Source organism: Homo sapiens, chromosome X (assembly GCF_000001405.40).
Source record: "Homo sapiens chromosome X, GRCh38.p14 Primary Assembly".
In the NCBI taxonomy this organism is placed as follows: Eukaryota; Metazoa; Chordata; class Mammalia; order Primates; family Hominidae; genus Homo; species Homo sapiens.
In genome coordinates, this window is record NC_000023.11 from 14,889,291 (window position 1) to 14,905,402 (window position 16,112).

General features: G+C 36.0%; 1 protein-coding gene across 3 annotated transcripts in view; it reads left to right on the forward strand.

Annotated features, from left to right (window-relative positions):
• Window positions 1-16,112, forward strand: part of MOSPD2 (motile sperm domain containing 2) — a 48,907-nt gene that overhangs the window by 15,870 nt on the left and 16,925 nt on the right. For all 3 annotated transcript variants that reach the window (NM_152581.4, NM_001330241.2, NM_001177475.2), the window contains 5 exons: window positions 3,433-3,588; window positions 6,018-6,104; window positions 7,794-7,948; window positions 11,285-11,345; window positions 13,676-13,714. In NM_152581.4, the coding sequence (NP_689794.1) occupies window positions 3,433-3,588; window positions 6,018-6,104; window positions 7,794-7,948; window positions 11,285-11,345; window positions 13,676-13,714 (498 nt within the window). The remainder of the gene's footprint in view (window positions 1-3,432; window positions 3,589-6,017; window positions 6,105-7,793; window positions 7,949-11,284; window positions 11,346-13,675; window positions 13,715-16,112) is intronic.

Consider the following 16,112-nt stretch of genomic DNA (forward strand, 5'->3'; position numbering starts at 1 on the left):
ACTGGTTTTCTGAAATTTCCAATCGCTTGAGGGCTCAGTTGTCTGAGGGCTGTGTGTGAAAGCAACAAATTGTGTTGATAAAAGCACAATTATTTATCACCCTTGGCCTTGTGCTTCCAGGCTATGTTTTTCTTACCTTCAATGCTCAGTTTATTCTGTTTCTTTCTCTGCCTCTTTTATCTTTACCTCCCTCACCTTTCTTTCCTCTGTGTCTCATTCTATCTGTCTCTCCCCCTCTCTTCCCCCTCAACCCTCTCCTCTGTCCCATTGTCCTCTGTCGTCTTCTGCCTCTACTTTTCTCCTGCCTCTCTCCCCCAACCCCCATGTGCCTAGCTGTCAAATCTTTGTCTTCTCTTTTCTTTCCCCTACTCTGATTTCATTTCTATTTGTCTAGGGGTAAATGGTCAACAACTAGCATGTTATATGTAAGAACATTAATAAAAATCATTTTAATATAAATGGGGCTTTCTAATTTCAAAGATCAACATTGCTGAAAGCTATCAAAGAGCCGTGGGCTTTAAATTTCTTAGTAATGGACATTCATTTGTTTATGGTATTCCCTAGTGATGGTACTAGCAGTGGTGGTAAAAATGACAACAACAACAATAGTGTTTTATTCTTCTTAATATGGCTAATATTTACTGAGTTTTTACCACTTGCCATATATTGTTCTAAGTAATTGGTTTTTAGAATATATCTGGGGATCCTAGGAGATGCCCAAGACTTTCAGAAAGCTATGAGGTCAAAACTATTTTCATAATAATGCTAAGATATCATTTGCCTTTTTCACTTTCTTTACATTTGCACTGATTACACAGAAGCAATGATGTGTAATCAGTACTGGCTGCTTCGCCCAAATCAAGGCAGGTAGTCATTGTAGTCCTCATTGTCAGCACTCTTAGTTTAAAAAAAAAAAGACAATTTTATTTTAGAAAGTCCCTGATGAAACAGTAAATTGTATTAAGTTTTGACCCTTGAGTACATGTCCTTTCAATGTTCTGTGTGACAAAATCGGGAAGTGTGCATAAAACACTTCTGCATGCTAAGTATGTTTGAGTTGCCAGCTGAATTAGTCACCTGTTTCATAGGCCACCCTTTTTACTTGAAAAAAATTGTAAAAAATGTGTTTTGAATACTGATGAATTTTCAAATAGCAGAGCTAAACAACAATCTCTAAGATTACCTACCACAGAACCACTCATTTTATAGATTAGAAAAATACAACCCAGCTATTAAAAGCCATATCCAAAGCAGCACTCTTACAAATGCATGATTTATGGCCTCTTCTTATATTTTATAGTGCTTTAAATTTCCACTAAATTTAGTGCTTTAAATATATAAAATTAGTGCTTTAAATATATACTTTTTCATCCGATCCTCACACAGCATTGTGAGTATATAAAACAGCTTAAAGATAAGGAAATTGAGACTCAAAGAAGACAATTCTCTGAATGCAGTCTATATTTTCCTGGCCTTTCAGCTATTATCTCTGAGGACCTGAAATAAGGCAGTGCAAATCAAGAAGAGATAGGATCCATAAAACCTGGCAACTAACTAGATGCAGAAGAAAAGGAAATGAAGGAGCCAGGGAATTTCCTGAAGTTGTTTTGCTTTGTTTTGTTTTCTTTTGTTTTTTGTATGAACCTTAGGAGGGTATGACAACTGAGAAAAAAATGAGAAGGAATAGATTCCATCAACAGATGTTTATGGAAGGCCTTTTCATTGGCACTACTGTAATCTGCTTTGGAGGATGCTCAGATGTATAGACTATCTGTCTCTACTGTCTATTTGGGAAATATGTCTTCCGTGCTAGTAACTGTATTTCAAGGTAAAAGTGGTAAGCACCTTAAGAAAAGCTTAGTTCAAGTTCCATAAAAGTAATTGCTTTTGCACCAACCTAATACTTCTGGACTCAGGGAAAATTTTATGGAATAGGGAGCATTTGAAAGGAGACTTGCAGAATGGTAGCATTTGGATGTGCAGAGACAAGGAAGGTTCAGTTACAGAATAATAAAGCAGGGCAAGGAAGGAGGAATGTCTGCTATACAAGTTAGTGGGAATATAGTGTGTGTGTGAGCAACTGATGAGAAATTATTGTTATTAGAAATAATTATTCCAAGAAATTATTGAAAATGTGTTGGCCAGAGTCTGAAAATAGTAAATACCGTAATATGGCATACATGATCAGTTTTCCATCGGTACTTAGTTAATTTTTTTTTTACTGTTTTTTATTGTTGTTGTTTTTTCTTTTTTTGTCTTTATTTTTATATTTAATTTATTTATTTATTTTTTTTTTTAGACAGAGTCTCACTCTGTCACCAGGCTGGAGTGCAGTGGCACAATCTCAGCTCACTGCAACCTCCACCTCCCGGGTTCAAGCGATTCTCTTGCCTCAGCCACCCTGGTAGCTGAGACTACAGGGTGCGCCACCACGCCCAGCTAATTTTTGTATTTTTAGTAGAGACGGGGTTTCTCCATGTTGCCCAGGCTGGTCTCAAATTCCTGACCTCAGGTGATCCGCCTGCCTCAGCCTCCCAAAGTGCTGGGATTACAGGCATGAGCCACCACACCTGGCCTACTTAATTTTTTTTTAATGACACTTGCCAAACAAATGTCTTTTTAAAGCACAACTTAGTTATTTCTTTACATATGAAATTTCTTCATTTTTCATTGACTTAAGAATTTCAAGTTCAGATAACATAATTAATCTTCCCAGATGTTGGTGTATAGTTTTAGAGAGGGCTATACCAAATACTTTACTCTGGTGTAATTTTTAACATCTGTAGTGGCTTACTTAAACCTGCAGTCTTTAGATAACGCATTCTCCTCACACTTGGGAATTCCATCAGTCTTAGTCCATTTGTGTTGCTATAAAGGAATACCTGAGGCTGAGTGATTTATAAAGAAAAGAGGTTTATTTGGCCCATGGTTCTGCAGGCTATACAAGAAGTATGGTGTCAATATCTGCTTCTGATCAGGACCTCAGGAAGATTCCACTCATGACGTAAGATGAAGGAAAGCAGGCATCACATGGTGAGAGAGAAAAGGCAAGAGAGAAAGGAGGAGGTGCCAGGCTCTTTTCAACAATCAGTTCGTGCGGGAACTAAGAGCAAGAATTCAGTCGTTGTCATGAGAATGATACCAAACTACTCTTGAGGAGTCCTCCCCATGACCCAAACACCTCCCACCAGACCCCACCTCCAACACTGGGCATCAGATTTCAACAAGAGACTTGGGGGAACCAAGCAAACCATATCCAAACAATAGCACCATCAATCTTTTAAATGGCGCTTTTATCTGAACTACATCCCTGAGTCTATCCTCAAATAGCTTAACTTTGTCTTGGAAGTCTTTCTTCTCCTTTGCCATTAGTGGTTATTTTTCACTGCAGAATTAATCTGACTTGGATGTTTATTACTGTTTTTTCCCTAGATAAGTCAGATAAATATGATGCACGTGATGTTGAAAGGCTACAACAAGATGATAACTGGGTTGAAAGTTACTTATCTTGGAGACATAATATTGTAGATGAAACACTGAAGATGCTCGATGAGAGTTTTCAGTGGAGGAAAGAAATTTCTGTCAATGGTAAGCTGTTCAATTTAACCTTGACTGTAATATATACTGTATAAATGGTATTGTTTTACATTTATCTAATCATGTATTTGCACATATTCCTAGCAGTCATCATAAACACCAGAATATAATTATTTATAAAGACCCAGTAATATTTTCAAAGGAACAGCTTATAAGTCTTTTAAGTGGGATCATTCATAAGGAAATCAGATCACCAGAGAGCAGAATCACACTCAGATTCTTCATTCACAGCAGAGTTTCCTAATCTGTGTTTAATTCAGTACCATTAAGCAATAGCAAGACAGTATCTTTGCTACTAGGCCTAGAAATAAGGAGATACTGTCCATTTTTCTCAGTTGTTGCCTATGCCTTTCTCTGTCCCCACAGTTCCTTGTGCTAATAGGTTAATAGGTACGCCATATAGAATTGTTAAATGAATGAGAGTCACCCCAAAAATGCAAGCTTATCCCCAAGGAAGCCTATCACAGTCTTCTCTGTATATTGTTTTTATTTTTGTGGGTACATAGTAGATGTACATATTTTGGGGTACATGCAGCCTTAACTTCTTAATTTCTAAGTCTGCTACTAGATAGAATTTTTTTCCAAAAATGAGAGTTTCAAGTCTTGGAGTTTTATAATGGTCTTCAAGTATATGAAGACCTGTTAGTTCTCTCCACCAAAAAATTGAACAAGAAGAAACTGGCATAACTTCTGTTTTCAGTTAGGCATAAAGCAGAATTTTCTGTCCTTGAGGATTATAACCTCTGAAGTGACTTCAATCTGAAGACTTAACACAAAATAGTCAACAATAAATCCAGAGCAGATACTCTCCTCACTCTTCATGCTTGCAGAAGGAATCCCTGAAAGGGGGATTAGTAAAAAATAATGTGATTGGAAATTTAACAAATGTAGGTAATTTCAACAGTGAAGCATTTATTAACCAAAGAAAGAAATATAAATCTGATATTTTTAAACGATTTAAGTACTGAATAAATATTTAAACTCAACAATGTTTGTTTTCTTACACAGAATTGCTATTTCCTGGTGAAAAATAGCAGAGATATGGTAAAAGGGGATGGGGAAAGATAAATCTTTGAAAGGTCTTAAGGTACTGCTGGTGAATGAAACAAAAACATTGGCATTTGCTGCCTTGCTATGTTGGTCCTTAGCCTCCCCAAAAACTGGAGAGGCACTCTGTTTGTTCCTCCTGCTGAAGTTCAAGTTCTCACATTTTTTGTTTTCTTTTCTTATCTTCTCTTTTCTTTCTTTCTTTATTTTATTTTGAGGCAGGGTCTTGCTCTGTCACCCAGGCTGGAATGCAGTGTTGTGATCATAGCTCACTGCAGCCTTCAATGCCTGGGCTCAGGTGAGCCTCCCACCTCAGCCTCCTGAGTAGCTGGGACGACAGGCATGTGCTCCCATGCCTGGCTAATATTTATTTATTGATTGATTTTTTTTTTTTTTTTTTTGAGATGGAATCTGGCTCTGTCACCCAGGCTGGAGTGCATGGCGTGATCTCGGCTCACTACAAGCTCAGCCTCCTGAGTGCACGCCATTCTCCTGCCTCAACCTCCCAAGTAGCTGGGACTACAGGCGCCCACCACCAAGCCTGGCTAATTTTTTATATTTTTAGCAGAGACAGGGTTTCACTGTGTTAGCCAGGATGGTCTCGATCTCCTGACCTCGTGATCTGCCCTCCTCAGCCTCCCAAAGTTCTGGGGTTACAGGCGTGAGCCACCACACCCAGCCTAATTTTTATATTTTTATCTTTGTAGAGAGGTTGTCTCACTGTGTTGCCCAGGCTGGTCTCGAACTCCTGGCCTCAAATGATACTCCCGTGTTGGCCTCCCAAAGTGCTGGGATTACATGAGTCACCATGCCTGGCCATTTTTCTTGAAGTATTTTCCACTTTCCTAAAGGTTTTTAAATGCATTAAAGTCTACTAGATAACAAACTTAATATTAGATTGGTGCAAAAGTAATTGCAGCATTTGCCATTATGTTTAACTGCAAATACCACAGTTACTTTTGCATGAACCTAATAGAAAAATACCATTTTACTAAAGAAACCAAAGTGATTTTTTTCTACTAATTCTGAGGCTGCAATGTGGATATTTACTAGAATGTTCTCTTGAAACTCTGACAGTGATATTTGTTTGCAAGTCATTATGTGAAACAATCAAAATGTGGAAATGTATCCACATAAATAATGACCTGTCAAGGGAAATGGAGTTTGTCCATTTTGGTCCCCTGTGTCATTATTTAGTTTGTTTGCTTGGTAGGAAGCACCACTTTATATTGCCAGAGATTTTTTTTTGAATGTTTGGGTACATTATATCATTTTTAAAGCTCAGAACTACTACATAACATTATCTTTACATTATGAGTTTTATTTTTAAACCCCTAAATTACAACTACTGATCAAAGCTTACCACTTTTTAGACCTTAATGAATCCTCCATTCCCAGATGGTTATTGGAAATTGGTGTTATTTATCTCCATGGTTATGACAAAGAAGGTAACAAATTGTGTAAGTATATTTAATTTATGTTCTGGCTTTTCAAGATTTTGAGATTGAGATATCTATGTCAACTGAATTAAGAATTGGCAGAACTTTCTCCATCTGTAGCACTCCTCAGGTCTTCTGCAATGAGGGATTGGCAGGACCATTTTTACAGAGTGTTAGATACTTAGTAGCTGTGCATACTGTTTGCATTATAATAAAGTAGGCAATAAAGGCAAAAAATAAATGCTGCATCCTACAGCATAAACAAAGTTATTTAATTCAGAGTCATTATCTTCTTTCTAATCTGACTGTGATATTAAAACTCGTCTTAGTATTTTTATGGAGAATTTTTTTGACAGTCGCTAAAGGTTGCTAAATAGGCCTTTTCCTTTTCGAGTCTCCCATAATCTCACTCTAGCTTTTTCTGAAATGTGTATTATAATGAAAGGAACAGTAACAATCATCTCTTTTGTTCCAATGACTCCCCTGTTATACCTCTCTCCCACTTGCCCCAAATCCAGCCTGGTTTTATACCAGGGATGCAACTTGGCAGGCATGTTCAAGCCCCATACTGAACAGATGTCCTGCACTCATCTTCACTCCTCCATAGCATGTGGTCCGTCTCTGAGCAATACTCTTTTTGCATTTTCCTCTTACTGCCACCTCCTCCTTTTCAACCTTTTTTTTCTCATTTTTCTTCTTCCACCTGTCCCTTAAAGGTGTTTCCCAGGCTTTATTCCTTTCTTGCTTCTTTTACTTTACAGCTGATACAGTCTCCTTGGGTGATCAATCACGAGCATCTTGGCAGCTTTAGCTACCTCCCCCGGCACAGTATTGACCCCACACCATCCCCAGGCCACATGCACATACCTAGCTACCCACTGACTGCCCCCTCCTGACTGTCAGCAGCCTTTAGCACAACACACTACTGAACATCCATGCCTGTCCACTTGCTCACTTTCTGTATTGCCCACCTCAGGCCCACTCATTGGCTCTTCCTCTAATATAGCTTCAATTTGGCCTTTTATCCATCCTCACCAGCTACTTCCTCAATTCAGTTTCTAACTACTACACCTTTGCCCCAGTCCCTTCCCAGGTCATAACCTGGTGGGTTTCCTTCTCTGCCTCCTCCAGTCTGCCCTCTGTGCTATTGCCCGAAAGGTGTTCTAAAATAGGAAAATGAAAGTGCCCTAGAGTTTCATTCACAGTCCTTCAAGTCCAGTTCTTTCTTATTTAGCTTCTCCTCTCACCACTCATCACATTTCATCTTAGCTACCACCACCTGAACAGTTTACCGTGCTCCACACACACGCACGGCACTGGCTCATGCCTCCATCGCCCTGTGTCAGTATCTTTCCTCTGGACGGAACATTTTTTCCAGTGCTCGACAAAAGCAATGACTTTCTTTTTTGTTAAGCACAATGCAGAGCACATTTAGATTATTATCAAATAGTGTTTGTTCACCTGTATTTTCTTTTCCCTCTTACAAGTGAAATTTGTTTATTTCCTAAGGGAAACAGTCTATCTCTCTGCTACTCTTCAATTTAAGGCACCCAAGTGCAACAGTTTCTCATTGAAAATAAGAAAGAGATGTTTTTGATCTAAGAAATAAAATGAATTGTAAATGAAAAATGTCAAGGGAAAGGCAATATATATGTATAATAATATTATAATGCCATAAGTCTTGTTCTTATTTTTATCTTCTGCTTAAAGTCTGGATCAGGGTGAAGTATCATGTAAAAGACCAGAAAACCATATTGGACAAAAAGAAGCTCATAGCATTCTGGTTGGAACGTTATGCTAAGAGGGAAAATGGGAAACCTGTAACAGTGATGTTTGACCTGTCAGAAACTGGAATAAATAGCATTGTAAGCATTTTTTCATTCATTCCAAATCAGTGTTTATCATGGCTTCCTCCCTTTCTCCTGTCCTTGCTGCCAACCACATATTGCTGTAAAATTGAGGTAACTAACTTATATTAGGGATTTATTTTTTCACCTTGCAGTGTGAGTGTAGTCAAACATGGAATAGGGTTTGCAGAGAATTAAATTTGTTTCTGTATTTGGCGTTGAAACTGTCGATTTCCTAGAAATGTTCCTTGTCTGAGACACAGGATGGAGAGGTAGCATGTCGAGGCTGGCAAGGTATGAATCGATGTGATAACTGTGAACTTTGATATCAAAGCTAATATCCTATAGCACCTGCCCCGGTGTGTGCCACATAGTAATATATTCAGGAAATATCAAGTAAGGTAATATACCATCTCGAATTTGTTATATTCATACCATGTTTTACAGTTGCAAGATGTTCACATGAGTTTTGCACATATAACACTTTGTGATTTTATTGAGTGTTTTTGTTTGCTTGTTTGGATTTGTTTTCTATCTGTTTGATTTGGTTAGCTTTGGAAACCAGTTTTCTTCAGGTGATTTTGCCAAGCTTGAAAAATAAGTAAAACCTACCTGTCTTTAATTTGGGTCCTTGTGACCTTAGTGATACCTACAAACCCTTCAGCAGCAATTGAGATCACTTGGCACATTTATTCTAACTACTGTCTCTTATATTTAATCTGTGGCTAATTCTGATAGCAGTAATGTCGTATTCACAAACGTGCTCAGGGCAGTGTTGAAATCTTTTTGGAATTCCATTTGGCAAATTATGTTAAGAACCTTAAAGTGTTTGTATTTATATTCTTTGCCTGGTAACCAACTTCTGGAAATCTATTCTAAAGAAATAATCCTGAGTACAGAAAAAGCATCATACATCAAAATATTTTCCCAGTGTCATTTAAAGTAATGAAAAATTAGAAAAAAATATAAATGTTCAACATGATGAAATGGCAAATTATGGTATATCTAGTTAGTTGATGGAGTATACATATAGCTATGTAAAATGGTGTTTTTAAGGAATTTATAGTAATATTGGAGAGAACACTTTTTTCTGAGATGAAAAAAGCTGTATGATTATACATACTATAATATGTATGTATTCTATACCATGGTGATACATAGCCCAACAAAGGAAACTGTAGACATAACACAAAACCAGCTAGAGAGAACTGCTAACAAGAGCTTTCTTGCAGTGGTAGGACCACAAATTTTTTTCATGTTTCTATTTCTCTTTTTATTTTTCAAGGATCCGATGCCCTGGAGTTTTCCAACCTAGTTTCCATGTCAGTGGTTTTAAATTAGAGAAAGTAAATTATTTTATATCCAAAATCAAAATCAATTTGCCTAGATAAATAAATATTCCATAAAAATAAATCCTGATTCTTTTGTCCTTTGGATATGATAGTTTCCTAATTATTAACCCAGAATCATGAAGAATAAATGTTAATATTTTTGTTGCCAAGTATAAGGACAGAGAATTGACTTGAACTGTTTTATTTTTTCAAGCTACTTATATCTCACCATCTTTAATTTGTAAATAAGGTGTATTTGCACTACTAAGTATTTAAGTCATTATTGTTTTAAAATACTTGAATCTTACTGAATAATTTATTTTCATAAATGACCCTTTCATGAGTCACAAAGAATTTAAGTGAGCTTATAAACATGTCACAAAGAATTTAGGTGAGCTTATAAATTTCAAGGCAAAAAATAAGAAAATCATTTGTTAGAGTTGGGACACCAGTTTGGCTCTAAGCTTTCAGCTGCCTGCCTGAAAGAAATGCAATCATTTAAAATTATTCAGCGGCCATCCTTCACAACCAGTGTCTTAGAAGTATATCCATTCCTAATACTTGAACTAGAAAGTCTTTCATGGGTCCTCAAAAGGACGTTTTACAAGATAATAACAGCCTCCTCGAAAACATCCTTATAGAATGCTGAGCAATAGGGTTGATGGAGCTATTTCTTGTAGTCCCCATTAATAGAATACACCAGTGACATCTTATCATATCCACTTGAATTAGCAGTAACTCACGATTTTACGAAGAAGGATATTCAATTAAATAAATGATAGAAACAAGAATGTTATTCCAAGACTATTTAGACAAAGTCTCTGGGGGCCATAAATTCTAGACTAGGTAACCACATTTTTATATAACTGGTTCTTTTCAGCTATTTTCTTTGACTGTTACTTAACTGCCAATTATGAAAACTCCATGCACAGTGGCTATAATGATTAGTTACAAAGGTATTATTATATATATATATACACACAAAGGTATTTTATATATATATATTATATACATACACACACACACACACACACACACACACACACACACACACAAAGGTATTATTATATATATACCCATAACAAATACTTAAGATAGTTAAGGATGCTTACTTTTAGTTTACTGCAATTAAAGATGCTGCAACTAACATTCCAGGGATGAATTTATAGACACTTATCTCTAGGAAAACCCACCTTTCCAGTAATTGTGATGGATTTCAGTTTGCTTGGTTGTATCTTTCATCCCACAGTCTTTATAAGATGGCCAATCAGAATTAGTGAATCAGTATGTGGCCATGGAGTGAAATGACTCATGGAAATAACCTTAATGACCTAATTTCCTGTTGCTGTGCTCAAAGCAGTAGAACCAACCAGATAGCTATGTTTGTAGTCTCCCAGAAATCAGAATCAGTGAACAACACTGGAATATAAACTAAAAAACTAATTCTAGGTCTCTAAATAAAATTTAAAAAGCCAGAAATGGAGTAGATACAGCAGGCCAATGTGATTAGATTAAGTATTGTGTTTAAAAAAGGTTGATAAAATATATTTTATTGACACTATTATGTGGTGTAAAAATTAGGATTAAAAAGCAAATATATGAGAATTTACATACATGTGTATTATTATCCCAAGTAGTCTGATTATAAACTGTATACTTGTTTCAATAATTCTTTAGTTATTCAACAGATTTTTAGAATTTCTCTATGGAGATTGCTTTTAGATCCATTTTATGCCCTGTTGCCTTAGTAGCCTGAAGTGTGTAACTAGTTTGAGGTAATGTGAATAATTTTAAAACATCACTAAGCATCTGGTTTCTTCAAGTCAGTTTTAGGGCTGATTATTATAAATAGCTTAATGACCTAAAACCTTAATCCTTGAGAATATAGATATTTACATATGAGCTTACTTTTTAAAGAATTTAATAATTGTCTCACTTGTATTTAATAATTTATCACCTTTAGAAATGTGCAATTTTAAGTTCTCTAATGTGGACAGTCTTAAAGATTTAATCTTTATTTTAGGACATGGACTTTGTACGCTTTATCATCAACTGCTTTAAGGTTTATTACCCTAAATACCTCTGTAAGTAACTTACTCCTTTATAAAAAATATAACATATTGAAACTGTAGACAATGTCTGAGAATTGTGGAGCCTTATGTTATTATAGACTTTCATACCTGAAACTTTGTTTTCTGATGAAGAATTTTAAATGTGTTCATAGACATTATTGTAACACATACAGAGGAAAGTTTTTCATAAGTATTCATTGTCCTTCACAGTTAATTTTAAGAGTTTAAGTTCTAAACTATATATATGGCATCCTATAACACACACACCCACTCACACACATAGGTACATAAAAGCATACATTTATTTCAAAATTATCTCATTTTTACTAATATTTCAATTTAGAAATTCATTTCAAATAGTATTTATTATATGAAACTTCTTGCATACAAGAACAGATAAGCAGTATTGATAGAGTACACTGTATAATAAGCAATATTGATATATAAAGTACACTGTTACCAACTGCTACTTAAAAATTGTCATTAAGAAAATACTTGACTAGAAGGTACTACATTTGAATCTGGCATTTGGAGTTTGTTTGTTTTTTATTGTGACTATTCCATTAATTACCTGAATGAAGAACTCCTAAACCTTATATAGTCCATTTTTTACTTGTTGAATTTGTATGATGGGTTCACCCTAGGGAAGCCGAGATGCCAACTCACATAAACAGTCAAGTATATTTAACCCCAATGGTTTAAAAGTGAAAAGACAGCAGAGAGGCAACAGGGATGTCAGAAAATGGGAATTTACAGATCTGCCTGAGCGTACTCCTAGAAAACAGCAAATTGGGTCTTTTGGGACTCGTGACTCAGGTGACTTTAGCATAAAATCCCTAAATTATCTTAATTTGGCATGTTAATTTTATTGTTAATGTGAAGTGAGGAATAGACAAAAAGCATAATGGATATCAAGAGTCAGTGCCACCCCTAGCTGTATACTCTCATCTTTTCAGAGAGAGTATTCATGAATATTTTTAGGTAAAAAGAATGATCAATAGTGTCCAGTTTGGGGAACCTGTACTATCTTCTGTTCCTTATGGATTTTTCCTGTATCTGGCATGTACCCTGATTCCTTAAGGCCTCCAGAGCAGTGCCAGTCATTGGTCAGTAGGGAATCACTACCCCATAGTTTTAGTTTGTTGCTCTTATGGACAAAATGAAAAAATATCCACTTGATCATTGAAATATCTAAAGGAGTTTGTGAAGAGCCACTTATCAGTAGTATAAATATTATTATTACTTTGTAAAATACATCTGAGATTCTTTTGAGAGAACTATTAAAAAGTTAATAGATCTATATAAAGATGAGTTGTAATACTATTCATCTTAACTAGAGATTTTATATATATATATATACACACACACATATATATATATTCTACCTACATAATATAGTTTTGCAGACATTGAATTTCGTGGAATCTTAATTGATTATGCTTCAAAATCTGTCATGAAGAATAACTATTATATCTTAAAATCTTGAGTCCACATTATTTTAAGCATATCCCAGACGAAGACTGAGGTATTAAGCACCAGGGTGCCTCTTTACAGATGCCTTTTTCCTTATATGTACTTTACTTGTCCTACATTAATGCAACAACTCTAAGAGGTTCTCTGCTCAGAGAAGAGTGAAATTACATTTTGATTCCTCTGGAATAGAGGAATGAATTGAATCTCAAAAATCTTCTTTGCAGTTTCTGGTTCTTTCTCACAGTTGTCTCAGTTGTTAATAGGGCTGTTTAGTATCTTCAACTCAGTGTGTAAATAATACTTATGCATACTTTGGAATTATTAGCTTCCTGGAGCTCATGATATAAAGTAGAAATAATTTTTGTTTCTGAAAACGTAGTGATGTATTAAAAGGGGAGGGGGCAACTGTGAGACTGGTTTAACAATAGAATCTCTAGAAAATTGTAATTGAAACCATAAATTAGACCTGGAAATGATTTTAAAGTTCAGTGGCTTCAGCACTACTTTGACATGCCACATCCAAAAACTCCATTTATCCACTTAACTGTTTTCTTTTGTACCTCCCTGCAAACAACAAAAGCAGTGAGTGACAAAAGAATAGGCTGTTTACCAGAGGACAGTGACAGTGCACTATTGATTTCCCACAAGTCTTCCTCCTGGGCTGGCACCTCACCATTGTGACATGCTAGTTCAGTTCCAGCACCACATGGAATACTATTCATGATACTATACACTTCACTGAATTAGAGCTCAGACAACAAGCTCAGTTTTTACTTAAATTTAGATGACCAGTTTTTTCTAGGCTGGTATGAGTGATATTATTATAGAGGTACTGATTCACATTCAATGAATTTTTTTTCATCTTTCAGCAAAAATAGTGATCTTTGATATGCCTTGGTTAATGAATGGTGAGTATATTTATACTTTCTTAAAACAAAATGTCTAATTTCCTTTACTTTGCCGATTTAGCCATATTTCTACAATTGTTTAAAATAATGTTTATATTGTCCTTTGCATGCTCTCTTAAGAGACTGGAGCTAGAACACTCAAAGGCTATTCCTAAGCAAACAGGGCTAAAATTTTATACCCAGGATCTGGGGGCACCCATTAGTCTTCTTTAAAAACAGCCTTGCCAGGCATGGTGTTGCACGGCTATAGTCCTAGCTACTCAGGAGGCTGAGGCAGGAGGATCACTTGAACCCATGAGTTTGAGGCCAGCCTGGGCAACATAATGATACCCATCTCTTAAAAAAAAAAAAAAATTAACAACAGCCTCAAATATTCAACCATTAAGGTAATACTCTAGTCAGAAGCCTCAATTTGTCATGCACAGATAAGGTATGTCACAGAACACAGGCCTTGTCTAGGTTTCTCATGGGCTTCAGGTGTTGAGAAAGAAGGTGGAATCAGTCTGAAACTCACCCCAAATCACTGTAGTGACATGACCCTTTTGACAGTCATGATATATTTTTTGGTAAAATTTTTTTGAAAAAGCCATTGATTGATAAACTGTCTTGACCAACTTTAAAATTACTGTAAATTGAATGTTATTTTCAGAATGTACATTCTCATTTGTGTTTGCAAAAGTCAGTTGTTACATAGAAAGCAATAGAGAAAATCAACAAATCCAAAATTTGGTTCTTTGGAAAATGCAACACAATTGACAAACCTTTAGCTAATAAAGAAGAAAAGGAAAGACTCAAAGTATTAAAATCTGTAATGAAAGAAGGGACATTACTATTGACCTTAAAGAAATAAAAAGGACTATAGGGAGATACTGTGAATGATTATATGCAAAGAAATTAGATAACCTACATGAAGTGAACAAATTCTTAGAAAGACACAAACTACTGAAACTAATTCAAGAAGAATCAGAATAGAAATATAAAAAAGGAAGTTGAATTAGTAATCAAAAAAAACTTCCCACGAAGAAAAGCCCAGGCCCAGATGGCTTCACTGGTAAATTATGTGAAATATTTAAAGAAGAATCAACATGAATCCTTCACAAATTCTTCCAAGAAATAGAAGAAGAGGGAATACTTTCCAACTTATTTTATGAGGCAAGTATAACCATAATACCAAACATCACAGGAAAAGAAAACTACAGACTGGTATTCCTTATGAAAATAGATGCAACAGCCCTCAACGAAGTACTAGCAAATTGAATCCAGCAGCATATAAAAAGGATTATACACCATGACCAAGTGGGCTCAACATATGAAAATCAACTAATGTAATCTACCATATTAATATAATGAAGGGGAAAATTATGTGATCATCTCAAGAGACACAGAAAAAGCATTTGACAAAATCTAGTACCCTCTCATGATAAAAGTACTCAACAAACTAGCAACGTAAGGTGCAAAGAGTTGAAACAACTACCAAGTTAGACCACAGTAGTCCACACAAGACCACCCCCATTTCTGACACAAACTGCAAGTTCAGGAGGTGCTCAAAATTGCCCTTAGGTTTGATAAGTCTAGTGAAGGACTCTGAGAACTCACTGAAAACTATTATACTCACAATTATGGTTTATTACAGGGAAAGAATTTAGATTAAGGTCAACCACAGAAAGTAAGGTGTAGGGCAGAGTCCAAGGAAGTACCAAATGTTGAGCATATTACTTCACTGGCATCAATGTGTGGCAATGTGCATGGAGTTAGTCAACCTGGGAAGCTCACCCAAGCCTCAGTGTTCAGAGTTTTTATTGGAACTCCATTATGTAAGCATGATTGATTGCCCATGTGGTTGATCTTAGTCTTCAGTCTCCCCCAAGGTCTACTGATACTGTGTAACCCAAACGCCTACCCTGAATCACACTGTTGGTCTTTCTTCTATGGCCAGTTCCTACCCTAAGTCATATTGTCCCATTGTCACTTAAGGCCCCCAGACAAACAAAGACAATCCTATCAGGCATGAAGATTACCTCTCAGAAGCTGAGGGCAAAGTGCAGATCTCTCTTTGGGTAAGGCTAATCCTTCACAGAAAAGAACTTCCTCCACCTGTTTATAAAGGGCATATATGAAAAACCTGAATCTATGAAAACCCACAGCTAACATCTTACTTAGCAGGGAAAGAATGGATGCTTCCCCCCTAAGATCAGTAACAAGACAACACTGTCTCTCTTACCACTTCTATTAATAAAAGAAGTTCAAGACAAGGACACGGAAAATTACAAAACCCCATTTTAGTAAATTCAAGCCTTACATAAATGAAAAGACATGTTGTTCATGGATTGGAAGACTTAATACAGTCTTTCTTCAGTATCCATGGGGGACTGGTTCCAGAACCCCTCCCCCACCACCA